Genomic DNA, 13,491 nt, shown 5'->3' with positions numbered 1-13,491 from the left:
TTGTTTGTCTTCAAAATTCATTGAGATTTAAATTTTATTATTATATTTTCATGCTTAAGTGTTATGTGTTTGTCTCTTCAAATTTTTCTGAAGATTATTTATAGTTTTATAGTCACTAAATGTATTTAACAATCTGTTCTTTAATCATAGCCCATTTAGCAATTTTATATCCTATACAATTATTCTGATTTCTCAGTTATATGATTGTATGATTCTGCTGTCTGTTGTATTTTCTTGTTCTTTCACGGTGCTTTGTCTCTTATGAACATTGTTCTCTGTTGTTGTTCTTAACTGTTAAGTGCTCCTTTTGCTGGTGTAATGATTTTTTGGAATTTTCAGAGTGCCAATGACAGTAGAAATTTTTCAGAGAAGTTTTGCTTGATTTTCCAAGGTTCCTTGGAGTCTGCACTACTTTAAAATAAATTCATGCCTTGATGATTTTTAGACCACCCAGGGAGTGTGAACTCGGGCTGCAAATCCACTTCTCTTTAATCTCAGGAGAAGGTTTTGCCCCTCTCCACTCAGCACCAAGGTGACTTTCTGGGGAGACCTTCAAGCAAGGATGTTTTCCTTATACTGAGGAGCTGGCTTTGGGATCCTGGTGAAATGAGGAGAACACTCTATTAAATTTCCCACTCTGAGTGCTACCTGAACTCTGTCTTCTATTCCAAATGCCTTAGGAGGCCATGAAAACTAAACCTTAATTATCCTACATTAAGTAAATAAGCTCAGCAAAAAAAGTAAATGCACAATTCCGTGATTTAGGATTTGACAATTTTTATTAAAGTTTAAGCCTCTCAATGCTTCTACATTGTGTTTTATTTTTTCACTATCCATTTTTGTTAGCATGAGGGTAGGTATGTTTACCTAAATGTGCCATGTGAGTGGTTCAAATCTCCTCCCCAACGCTCCTTATCACAAACCTTACCATCTTATTCCTTTAAAGTCACTGACTATCTAAGGAAACTACTAGCTACTGCTGTGCATTGATTAGGACCCAACAGTAAGACGTTTCTCCTTTTGGTAAACTGCACTTCCAGATGGTCTAATTGAACATCTTCTCACTGGAAGTATTTTTATTTCCATTACTCTTAATGATGATTCCTGAAAGAGACTCTAATGCCCTGACAGTTAACTCTGGGGTATCCAAGCATACTCAAATTTTTTTCCTTCTACAGTCAGTTGTCCTTAGGGAACTCCTCAAGACCTCAATAATGAGACAAGGGAGAGTGGACTCTCCAGTGGTAATAAGAACATTAGGAGTATAGTACAAATTATTAGGCAACTTACCTGGCCTTATGGAACCTGCTAAAGTCTGATGCTGTGTATACCATTTCCCCTTGCAGACTGAGGGCTGGTGAGCATGAGTGACCCGATAAAACTCAGGTCATAATGGGCATCTCAAGTCACTTGGTCATTTTCTGTATCATGATCATAGAATTCAGAATCTACCAGGGCCCAGTAGTAAGCCAGAAGCTATTACTCAAATTCAGAAAAAGAATGGAACTTTTTCCCCAAACCCTGAAACTTGGGCAATGAGTCCTATGACTGCCACACACAAACACACACACACACACACACACACACACACACACACACACACACACTCAACAATATCCAAATAAGCATTTAGGGCCAAATGGCAGATATGCTTGACTTTTGCCTGGATCAAAATGACATTTCCATTTATTATGGAATGTTTCTGTACTTGTACTAGCTCATAGGATTTTGGATTAGAGAAATACCCTTGCAGGATATGAAGTCATACTTTTTCATTGGTGAAATCATCTGTCCTCATTAGAGTTTAATAATATCATGCAGTTATTTCTCAAAGAGCTTGTACTCCTTAGATTTGCTGGAATTCCTCAAGTTAAAAAGACCAGGGCCTCAATAATGGGAGGTCTCATTGCCAATAGCTACAACCGGCTGTAGAATTTATTAAAAACATGTGAGTGCATTGTTTGGGGAAAGAATCAAGAACAAAAGCAGTGCTTGTTTTGTACTTCACTGAACTACTTCCATGGCCTCCATTCAACTTTAGCTGCAGTTTTGGTGACTTGATTCACAGACTGTCGGAAAGTTATGAGCTATGGAATGTGCTCTCTCCAATACTAAAGAGGCCAGTCATATATATGTAGGGTGTCCTTCTTTATCATTGTAGGTTGTATGAAGTCAGTGATTCCCATAGAACCTTGGGGTCACAGATGCCAGGCCTAATCTTCTTTTATTATTCATTCAATCTTTATTTTTTCAAACAATGGTCTCACTCTCTTGCCCAGGCTGGAGTCCAATGGTGCGAACACAACTCACTGCAGCCTCGACCGCCCCAGGCTTAGGTGATCCTCCCACCTCAGCCTTCCAAGTAGCCGGGACTACAGCTGTGTGCCACCGCACCTGGCTAATTTTTGTGTTTTTTGTAGAGATGGGTTTTTGTCATGTTACCCAGGCTTGTCTTGAACTCCTGGGCTCAAGCAATCCACCCACCTTGGCCTCCCAAAGTTGTGGCATTACAGACATGAGCCACTGCACCCAGCTCTAATCTTATTTTAATTTTAGAAATCTAACTTGACAGTTTCTGGTGCCTGGATCCATATTTGTCTCAGAAGATTGAATTGTGGACTGTGACCTTCTCTCCCAAAAGTCTCTTTCAGGGTAGAACTTCTGGTTATGGCAACATGAAGAGATAGACCAGCAAGTTTTCCTCCAACAGCAACATGAAAACTGTACTAAATACTAAAAACAAACATTTGAAGTCACTGGAAAATTAACAAAGGCAAGCAATATGTGATAAGAGCTTTCTTGTTTAAGACTCCTTCTGTCTTAGGTAAGGACTGCAAGTTGGTGGCCTTTCCTTCTTACCTATGAGTGCTCTTCAGCCTCCCAGCAGATAACTGCAGCCCTAGTGGCTCAATATGGGCAGTTTATAGAGTTCAGAGCCCAAATCAGCTAGAAATGTAAATGAGAATGTTGAAAGAGAGCTGCAGAAGAGTTGAGATCAACAATGTGAATGCAAATTATGCTCATCCCTAGTTGAACACTAAACTCTGCATGGGTGTGGGCCACTTGGGAATCTGGTGAAAAACCAGAAAGAAACTAGAGGGAGGTCTACCCTCCAAAGAGATAAATGATCCTGGTAAGATCTGCAAGTCTTCAGTAACATGGACTGAGTGCATTTGCCAACCTGCACAGAGCTCAGTAGAAGAAAGCAAAAATCTTACTGGCTTGAGAGGTGAAAAGGCAGGATTTGAGTCTAACAAAACAATTGGAAATTCAAAGAGAATTCCAGAAACAAAGCAACCACAATGAAGTTGAATCACAAAATCTGAGTATAAATGACCCAAATACTTGGTCAACCTCTAAATTACACAGATGCAGGACACACACCCAGAAACCCCTGCTGAAACCACGTAAGATACTAAGTGGAAATTCTCAAACAGAAAAAAAAGAAAATGAAAGTATTCTGGAAGAGGTCCACAGAAGTTTTGAGATGGCAGAATAAAGAACAAGCCTGTGACTTTGAATATAAATCTCCAGAATGTGCTCAATTCTAAAATCCAAAACACAGATTGAAATAAGATTAAAGAAAAAAATGAAGAGAACGTCATGAACCCATCAGAGAATATAAAGCAGGTGACCAGATATGCAAGTGGATCCTCAAAAGAAGACACAGGATCAGAAAAAAATATTTGAGAAAATAATAGTTGAAAGTTTCCCACATTTGGTGGGGGATTTTAGCTCATATCTAAGGTGTTCAATAAATGAAAGCAAAATAACTGCAGAGAAAATTACAAATAGGGTGACCAAGGCCTTGGCCTGGCCTGAGGCAACTTAGCTAGCCCCAGGGATGTGTGTTCTGGTGTGGAGTAAGATCAGGGAGCTACCAGTGCAATCTCTGCCTCTACATCAGCGGGACTGATCATTTTAATTTTGATTGCAGTTACTGCTGGTATCTGAATCAAAGTGGTGATGCTTCCTGAGGAAATTTCTGAAGCCATTAGTCAATTAGAACATTATAAGCCATGCCTCCCGTGAAGAGGAGCATCTAATCCCAGCATTTGCACCAGGGAACTCTGCCTGAAGGGATTACCAGTGACTTGAAAGTGTAACCAACAACAATCTTGTCACTATTACGCACCAGCTAAGCAATCTGAACATACATGCTGAAGACATATTTGGTGAGCTATTTAAGGAGGCTAACTACTTCCACATTAGATCAAATTCTCTTAGAATTTGTTGCCTCATGGTCAAAGTCACTCAGCTGGATTCAGCAGTGGAAGAGGTGTCACCACAGGACATCAACATGGAAAAAGCCCTCAAAAGTTCCCCAGCCCAAGACCAGCAAGCAGTTTCAAAGAGCAGCATTCCTACTCCTGCTGCTGACATTTACAATCAGAGTGATTGACCACCTCCCCTGAATAGCATGAGAGCACATGGAGATGATAAAGACAGGCTGAAGTTCTATACTGATCCTTCCCATTTATTTGACCTCTGGAAAGAAGAAGTGCTGCAGGACACAGAAGACAAAAGGAAAGACAGAAGGCATCAAAAGTAGCAAAACCACATAGATGGCACCACTTATGATGTGAAAAGGATTACAAAAGCCAGAAACAAGCACCATGAGTGGAATATGATGGCATATGACAAAGAGCTTAGACCCAGCAACAGGTTGTCTCAGTGTGTACCATGGAGCATCCTGCAAGAACCCCTGTCCCTAGACAGCAGGTCCCATACAATGGATGTTAGGGATGCTCTTATCGAGCTACTCCAAACCATTCTCACGACCCTTCCTAGGCAGCTGAAGATGCATGTCCACATGGGCCCACAAACCAGGCCCCTGAGCTTGAGTGCCACCCCTCCTCTGCCTCAGTGAGGCACATGGCCCTAAATGGACCTCAAGAGCGGCCCCCACTTCCCTGCCTTACCCCAGCTGTGTTCCAATCCTGTGCACTTATGGCTCCAGGAGACTACAGGATGCTCCCAGCACAGGTGCTTGCATATTACAACCCGTCAAGACCTCCTTCTCTTCCCCCTTTTACAGTACAAACTGCCTTTGTTGCCTTCTGCAAATCCTCCTGCCGCCTCCTTCCTCATATCAGCTGGCTCCACACACCCTCCTCCTCACCCTCCCTCCACTGGCCCCTGGGTCCAGCATTCCCTCCTCCAGCCACACACTTTCCCCACCAGGCCTCTTGGCTCAGTTCTTCTTTTTTGTCTTCCCCATGCATTCGCCCCCACACTACCACCAGTAGCTGAGGCAAAGTGTCAAGAACCTGCACAGCCACCAAAAAGTGATACGAGAAGTGATCTCCTTGCTGCTACTGGAATGGGGATTTGACTGGAAAAGGTGCAGGATCTGTGTGAGCAAGAGGCCAAGAGTGAGCCCCTTGGGAAGGACAAGGTCACAACCCTGTCAATACATTGCAGTGGAGAAGTACAGGGATTCTGAGGGAGACTTAGAGTTTGACAAAAACAACCGGCCCAACCAAGGCAGTGCTGGGGCTAGCTCTATGCAACAGGTGGGTAGCTGGTACCAGGCTGGGTGACAGCCAGGAGACCATATGCTAAGAATGTACTTAAGATTTCAAGTGGTCTCAGCACTCAATGGTATTATAATCCCGCAGCTGAGCACCTTTTGTATTAATGATGTGATATTGCTTCTGCACATCCAAAAATTCTGGGTTTTCTCAGTATTTACTGTGTAACATTTAAATGCCATTAAGCATAGAATATCATGCTGCACATGAAGAAATAGGGTGTAACTATTACATCGTCCTGAAAAGAGCGTTTTTTTTTTTTCCTGTAGGCCATGAAAGTATTTAGTGTACTTTGGGTTTACTCTTATTGATCATTACAATTCTGCAGATGTGCTGTGTGAAGCTGCCTGGTGCTAGGCCTTTGAAGATTAATAACTGTGTTTCAGGTGGATATCTTCAGATGAGTAATTGATATTGTTTTACTGTTTTGGGGTGTTTTATGAGTTTGAAAAGCTGTTGGTTCTAGAGGGAAAGGTTTAACAAATAAGGAGAATCCAATATTTCTGCTTTCATTTTCTTGGCGTGGTATCCTCTGTGTGAATTTGAATGCTCAGTTGAATAGTTTTATTGCCTTAGTACACACTTGTCAAATGTAAAGTTGGAAGGACCCTTTTCAGGAAGGGTTTCCTGTGAACATTCACTTAGTAAATGCTTGTGGATGATTCTTGTAAGAGGTCTCAGTGCTTAGAAGTAATGAAAATGAAGAACAAGATCCTTTCACCTTCAGGGGCCTTTGGGACCAATACTCAAAATATTTGCCAGCCCTTACAGCTTGGGCACCAGCCAGCAGGAGCAGAGGTGAGTGGTCCAGGAGCTGGGCAGCTCTGGGCAGAGCAGCTGCATGTGGGCCCTGGGTGCTAAAGCAGGCCTGCTCATTGTGTGTCCTGGAAGAGCTGTGTTCTAAAGGAGGCCACAGGAGTTCTTAGCTCCTTAGTGTGTGACAGACAGTGCTTCAGAGGGCACCGTGCTCCACTTGGTCTTAATTTTGAAAGTTTACATTGAGGTGAAAGTAGATATTGACAGCTGTTCACTCTTCATGTGCTGTGTTCAGATTACGGATGAATCCATGAGCAGGGCCTTTGCCTTATCCTAGAAACACGTGGTTATCTTCCCTCATGTTGTTGCTGGCACATCACATATTGATAAGTACCTCTCAAGATTACCTTGATAGACCCGTAGCTGTAGAAGAGCACTTAGTTCTCACCTCTGCCCTTCCCCTTATTCTTGCACTGTGGTCATGCTAGAGACCCATGGGGTTTATTTTCCTGGCTAAGGCAAACTGTTGGGAAATGCAAGAATGAGAGCTTCTATTGTGTAATTCTGGATGAAGAATAACTGCTTGTTTAGAGCAAATAAATGTCCCAGGCTTTGATTATAGTTATGACTTCAAAAATATGCTAAGACCATTTACTTACTGAGGAAATCTTACCTACTTATAGTATTTCAAATTGATTGCAGTCATTAGTGACTTTCAGTTACGATGAAGGGAAGAATCTTGAGCTAAACGCAGGGTTGTCTGAGGTGATGATAGGAGTGGAAACAGGATGGTAACTAATGGATTTAGGTTAATGAGTTCTGAGAAAATCAACCAGCCCCTGCAAGTCACAGCTCTGTGTCTCTAAGTGGACACCTGTCTGTCTTGAGGCAGTCATCATATAATACGCATCACATAGATTTTAGTCATATGGATTTTGAAACTCTGGAAACCATATGTCTGCAGCTCCCTTTCATGACCATGCTTGTGCTGGTTTATCTGATCTCCTCAGCTGTACCAGCTGCTGTGGCATGAGCTTCTTGAGCTTCTCTTTTTAGAGCTGATCATTATCTGGCGGCTGTCGCTATAATTTTCTTGAATACAAGTAAACATTATTTATAAACTTTTAAATTTCTCTGTTTAATTTTTCTCTCTCTTTTTTTTTTTAATGTAGAGGCCTACTTTGCTGGCATCTTTGGGTCCTACTCAGTCATAAACCACCCTCCCCACCCTAGAGTAGCCACTCTTGATTTCTAATACAGATGAGTTCTGCCAGGTCTAGTTGAATGGCATTATACAGTCACCATCATGACCCTGGGTCTCATCATCTCGCTGTGTGTGGTCGTAGCCTATTCACTCCCATGGCTGTCCAATGCTCCACTTTATAAATAACTCACATTTCTTGTCCTTTCACTGTTGATAGACAATTTTGTTGTATACAGATTTTACAAATCGTGCTGCTATGAATAATATTTTCATATAGTTTGGCACACACATACATGCATTTCTATTGGTTTAGAACTAAGAGTGCTATTGCTGGATCATAGGTGAGTAGATGATTGGCTTAGTCTCTCAAAAACCAAGTTTCTAGTAGTAAACAAACAGTAGAGGAGGGTGAATCTCTTACTTAGAAATTATTCAGATAATAAATGAAGAAGGAATGAGAGACTGAGACTATAATAACTCTTTTGCAACCCATCATGAATTAACAGATTTAGCCATTGAATAGCAATGGCAATTAACAACACAATAAAAGAAAAAACTAATGTGAGGTTCTTCCTCTTGATGGAAGAACACAATACAGCACCATCAAACAAGTCCAAGTGAAAAAGAAACCAAGCCTGAATAGAAGCTGATCTCCATAGCCAATTACCAATTTAGAGGCAATACAGATAATAGAAATACATATTAAACTATGCCTTGGGGAGCAATCAGCAAAATGCACACTATGGGAAGCTCTACCACACAATATAAATTTCAAGGAAGAATCTATAGAATAAAGAAAACAAAAGCATATTTCTAAAGGTAAAACTAAATCATAATATTGGATGATAAAAATAAAAATAAAACAAAGAATTGATGATCGTAAAAGTCAGGTTGTGTTTTTATTTGAGGGAAGAAAGAGTTTATTGCTGGGCTGGAGCAAATGATGGGGCTTCTGGTTTGCCCCACAAACATCTATCCCTGGTGATTAATGGGTGTTTACTTTGTATTAAAGGACACAAATTTTAGACATTTTTTTCTTTTGGAGTCCTATATTTTATTTTATGACACAAAGGCTAATGAAAAAATAATTTATAGAGTATGGTTACTGTTTTGCACAAAGCCTCCTCCCCATCTTCTTTTCTGGACACTGAGCACCCAGAACAACCAGCAGCCCCAGGACCCCCAGCAGGGGTGACCTCACTTCTAGGTGTGCATGCAGCTTACATCACCAGAGGTAACATGCAGGTCTACTCCTTGACTCCTGGAAGAACCTGATAGGACACAGCTGAAGGGAAGCCTTCTCCGCCATCTGTAGGCTCTTGGCCATCAGTGTAGAGGGAGCGGGTCCTCACTTCTCCACAGGCGTCTTCATGGCCATAGCCTCCTCTCTGCATGGGGAGTAAGGCCTGGCCCTTCGCCTGAACACGGTGACAGGGATCTCGCCAAAGGTGGAGATCACACCATTCCTCCTTTAGCAACCTCACGCTTCTTTTGCTTTACAGGAAAGTTGACTCAGGCTGGTGTCCAGTAAAGAAATCCCAAGGAGAGGCCGGGTGCGGTGGCTCACGCCTGTAATCCCAGGACTTTGGGAGGTCGAGGTGGGCAGATCACGAGGTCAGGAGATTGAGACCATCCTGGCTAACATGGTGAAACCCCGTCTCTACTAAAAAATACAAAACATTAGCCGGGCGTGGTGGTGGGCACCTGTTGTCCCAGCTACTCGGGAGGCTGAGCCAGAATGGCGTGAACCCGGGAGGCGGAGCTTGCAGTGCTCCTGCTCCCAGGAGGCAGATGCCCAGGATGAGCTTTAAGGTGGAGAGAGGAATGTCATTGCTCATCCTCCAGGTTCCAAGTAAGAACCTTCCTGCCCAGCCCATCTCGATCTCCCTGAATCCTCAACGCTAATGAGGACTGTCTCCTTCTCACCTCCCTAGACTGGGCTTTTTAACACTGGAAAGTGGATGTGATTTCTAGTTTCAGCATGTCCTGGTTTATTGTGCTGCCAGTAAAATAAAATCAAAATACACATTGAATAAATAATAAATAACCCATAGTGAGCAAAGGCTTACAATGTATTTTTTTGAGTCAAGACCTCACTCTGGCCTGGGCTGGAGCCCAGTGGTGGGATCGTAGCTCAATGCAGCCTTGTATTTATGAGCTCAAGGGATCTTCCCACCTCAGCCTCCACAATACCTGGAAATACAAGCGCCCACCACCAGGCCCAGCCGTTTACTGATTTTTATTTTTTTTAGAGACGAGGGTCCCACTATGTTGTCCAAGCTGGTCTCCAATTCCTGATCTCAAGCAATCCTCTTGCCTTAGCATCCTGAATTGCTGGGATTACAGGCGTGAGCTGTCATGCCCAGCTTGTAATGTACTGACACTATCAAGGTTTCTTTCTCCAAGTGTGGATACAGCAGCAGACACCCCTTGTCTCTTGGGTGAGGACACTGGGTAAAGTGGAATAGCAAGGCAACAAAGTCACTGCAGAAAGCACCCACGTGGAAGAGGTCCAGCAGGGAGAGCCACCTGTTCCAGGGACACCATATTTAGGGATAACTCCTCTTTCTGGGCAGGACTGTTCTTTGATTACTTTTGTATTCACAATAGTTCTGAAATCGTAGAATGATGAGACTCAAGACTGGCTAGGGTTTTATTTTTGTTTAGTTTTTATTTTGTTTTGTTTTGTTTTTTTCAAAAAACCATCATGAGATTTGTTAATCTTTTGAATGGTTTTTGTGTCTCAATTTCCTTCAGAATTTAACTCTTCTTAACATTTCACAGTCCACTTTCAGTTAAAAATGTACTAGTACCCATAAATAGAGAAATCTTGCAACCATTTATCCTCTATAAAATGTCCATCTTTATGGTACAGATATTATATGTAATATATCTATATAGGTTATAAGTCCCACAAGAAAAAAACTTCTTCTTATCTTTAAACAGTTCTATGTATATAAATTAGAGTAAATGAGGGGAACAAGATAGCCTTTTGCACTTAGCTCAGTATTTACCATTTTTGATCATCTTCATCTTTTCTGATAACCTCATTTCCCACCTGGTATCATTTGCCTTTAGCCTGAAGAATTTTCTTTACCAATTGTTATTGTGCAGATCTGCTGGTGACAAATTCTCTTAATTTTCTTTTACCTGAAACATCTCCTTATTTTGCCTGTCCTTGAAGGACATCTGTGCTGGATATAGAATTCTTAGTTGTCCTTTTTTTCTTCCAGCACTTTAAAGGTGTTATTCTACTTTCTTTTGTTTCTATGGTTTCTAATAAGAAGTCGTTGGTCAGGACAAGAGGAACAGAGAAACCAAAACTGAGGAAATAACATGGTAGACCTAAAACTTATCAATAATGAAAAAAAAACCTATATGAATCAACACTCCAATGAAGGGCAGAGATTGTGTGAATTGGTTAAAAAAAAAAAACAAAACACAGAACCCAACCATATGCTCTTTCCAGATATGCAGTTTCTTTGTTTCTTTTTTTTTTAATTTAACTTTTATTTTTAGTTAAGGAGTACATGTACAGGTTTGTTATATAGGTAAACTTGTGTCATGCGGTTTTATTGTACAGATTATTTCTGTACCCATTAGTACCCACCCAAGTATTAAGCCTTAGTACCCATTAGCTATTTTTCCTGATCCTCTCCCTCCTCCCACCCTCCACCCTCAAGTGGACCCCAGTGTGTGTTGTTCCCTTCTGCGTGTCCATGTGTTCTCATCATATAACTCCTACTTATAAGTGAGAACATGTGGTAATTGGTTTTCTGTTCCTGCCTTAGTTTGCTAAGGATAATGGCCTCCAACTCCATCCATGTTCCTGCAAAGGACATGATCTCATTCTTTTTTATGGCTGCATAGTATTCTGTGGTGTATATGTGCCACATTTTCTTTTTCTTTTTTTTTTAATGGAAAATAACTTTTATTGAGATCCCACCAGTTGCAATATCTGTTCCCAGCATTAAGCTCCTTCTTCCTTTGCAATTCGGTCTTTCTTGAGTGGTCCCATGAATGCTTTCTTCTCCTCCATGGTCTGGAAGCGGCCATGGCCAAACTTGGAGTGGGTGTCAATGAACTTAAGGTCAATCTTCTCCAGAGCCCGCTGCTTTGTCTGCACCAGCAAGGTCTTGCGGAGGGTGAGCACCCACTTCTTGGTTCCCACCACACAGCCTTTCAGCATGACAAAGTCATTGGTCACTTCACCATAGTGGACGAAGCCACCCAAAGGGTTGATGCTCTTGTCAGACAGGTCATAGTCAGTGGAGGCATTGTTCTTGATCAGCTTGCCATCCTTGATAAGGTAGCCCTAGCCAATCCTATAGATCTTCTTGTTGATCTCAGTGCGGTGATGGTAGCCTTTCTGCCCACCACGTACCACAGAGAAGCCCACACGAGCAGGATGCCATGCCCCAATACAGGCCACCTTGCACAGGCCTTGGTGGGTCTTGCGGGGCAGCTTCTTGGTGTGCCAACGACTGGTGACCCTTTTGTAGCCTTTGCCCTTGGTCACCCTGATGACGTCGATCATCTCATCCTGCCCAAACACTTGGTTCACAGGTACCTGGTGCTTGAGCCTCTCACCAGCCCAGTCCAGCTTCTCAGCCACAGTGCCTCCATTCACCTGGATCTCCATCAGGTGGGCCTTCTTCTGGCACAGAGGAAGCAGTTGCATCTGGGTGTGGGCAATGACGCAGATGACTTGGCAGTACTTCTTCATGCTGCTGAAGTCCTTCTCCAGCTGCTTCTTGCCATCCTCATCCTGCCATTTCTTGCAGTACTTGGTAAAGGCCTTCTTCTTAGATTTATGCCAGTTCTTATAGAAATGTCTCTTGCATTCATCACTGATGTGCTCAGCGAAGACAGTCTTGCAAGTCCGGAAGCCTTGAGGGGTTTCCACGCAGCCCACAATGCCCACTGGTGGCCTCTCCACAATGGTCACAGCCTCCACCACCTCCTTCTTGTTCACCTTGGATCCTGGCCTGTCGACTTCCCGCACGATGTGGGTCATGCCAGCCTTGTATCCCAGGAAGGCTGTGAGGTGGACCGGCTTGGACGGGTCATCCTTAGGGAAGCTCTTCACCTTCCCACGATGCCTGCTGCTGCGCTTCCAAGGCAGGAAGCCGAGGGACCCATGTCTGGGAGTGGAGAACTTTCTGTGAGACATCACGCCATCAAATCCTGCCGGTAGAGCATATTTGCCACATTTTCTTTATCCAGTCTACCATTGATGGACATTTAGGTTGATTCCATGTCTTTGCTATTGTGAATAGTGCTGCAATGAACATATGCATACATGTAAGACATGGGCTTTCTTTTTTTAATTTGCTTTGTTTTATTTTACTTTAGGTTCCAGGATACATGTGCAGAACCTGCAGGTTTGTTACATACGTATAGTCTGCCATGGTGGTTTGCTGCACCTATTGACCCATCCTCTAAGTTCCCGTCCCTTGCCCCCCACACTCCCCAAAAGGCCCTGATATGTGTTGTTCCCCTCCCTGTATCCATGTGTTGTCATTGTTCAACTCTCACTTAGGAATGAGAACATGAGGTGCTTTGTTTTCTGTTCCCGTGTTAGTTTGCTGAGGATGATGACTTCCAGCTTCATCCATGTCCCTGCAAAGGACATGAACTCATTCCTTTTTCTGGCTGTGTACTATTCCATGGTGGTATGCACCACATTTTCTTTATCCATCTATCACTGATGGACATTTGGGTTGGTTCCAAGTCTTTGCTATTGTAAATAGTGCTGCAGTAAACATACGTGTGCATGTGTCTTTATAGTAGAATGATTTATATTCCTTTGGGTAGATACCCAAGGGGTCAAATAGTATTTCTGGTTCTAGGTCTCTGAGGAATGGCCACACTGTCTTCCACAATGGTTGAACTAGTTTACATTCCCAACAACAGTGTAAAAGTGTTCCTATTTCTCCACAGCCTCACCAGCATCTATTGTTTCTTGACTTTTTAATAATTACCATTCTGACTGGC

The 13,491-nt window shown here is 42.6% G+C and overlaps 2 pseudogenes, besides 5 other annotated features; one reads left to right on the top strand and one right to left on the bottom strand.

Annotated features, from left to right (window-relative positions):
* Positions 3,869 to 5,483, top strand: WASF5P (WASP family member 5, pseudogene; annotated as a pseudogene).
* Positions 4,204 to 5,054: an enhancer, noted in NCBI's record as "OCT4 hESC enhancer chr6:31255707-31256557 (GRCh37/hg19 assembly coordinates)". NCBI's record gives its function as "activates a minimal SCP1, AML or CMV promoter by ChIP-STARR-seq in primed H9 embryonic stem cells {active_cell/tissue: H9 hESC(primed)}" and the evidence as "EXISTENCE:reporter gene assay evidence [ECO:0000049][PMID:30033119]".
* Positions 8,620 to 9,543: an enhancer, noted in NCBI's record as "OCT4 hESC enhancer chr6:31251218-31252141 (GRCh37/hg19 assembly coordinates)". NCBI's record gives its function as "activates a minimal SCP1, AML or CMV promoter by ChIP-STARR-seq in primed H9 embryonic stem cells {active_cell/tissue: H9 hESC(primed)}" and the evidence as "EXISTENCE:reporter gene assay evidence [ECO:0000049][PMID:30033119]".
* Positions 9,724 to 10,225: an enhancer, noted in NCBI's record as "OCT4 hESC enhancer chr6:31250536-31251037 (GRCh37/hg19 assembly coordinates)". NCBI's record gives its function as "activates a minimal SCP1, AML or CMV promoter by ChIP-STARR-seq in primed H9 embryonic stem cells {active_cell/tissue: H9 hESC(primed)}" and the evidence as "EXISTENCE:reporter gene assay evidence [ECO:0000049][PMID:30033119]".
* On the bottom strand, positions 11,413 to 12,693 carry RPL3P2 (ribosomal protein L3 pseudogene 2; annotated as a pseudogene).
* Positions 11,705 to 12,588: an enhancer, noted in NCBI's record as "OCT4 hESC enhancer chr6:31248173-31249056 (GRCh37/hg19 assembly coordinates)". NCBI's record gives its function as "activates a minimal SCP1, AML or CMV promoter by ChIP-STARR-seq in naive and primed H9 embryonic stem cells {active_cell/tissue: H9 hESC(naive and primed)}" and the evidence as "EXISTENCE:reporter gene assay evidence [ECO:0000049][PMID:30033119]".
* Positions 12,589 to 13,474: an enhancer, noted in NCBI's record as "OCT4 hESC enhancer chr6:31247287-31248172 (GRCh37/hg19 assembly coordinates)". NCBI's record gives its function as "activates a minimal SCP1, AML or CMV promoter by ChIP-STARR-seq in primed H9 embryonic stem cells {active_cell/tissue: H9 hESC(primed)}" and the evidence as "EXISTENCE:reporter gene assay evidence [ECO:0000049][PMID:30033119]".

This window comes from Homo sapiens, chromosome 6, assembly GCF_000001405.40.
Source record: "Homo sapiens chromosome 6, GRCh38.p14 Primary Assembly".
NCBI classification, from domain to species: domain Eukaryota; kingdom Metazoa; phylum Chordata; class Mammalia; order Primates; family Hominidae; genus Homo; species Homo sapiens.
Note: the sequence above shows the minus strand (reverse complement) of the source record. Positions and strands in the feature narration are given on the sequence as shown.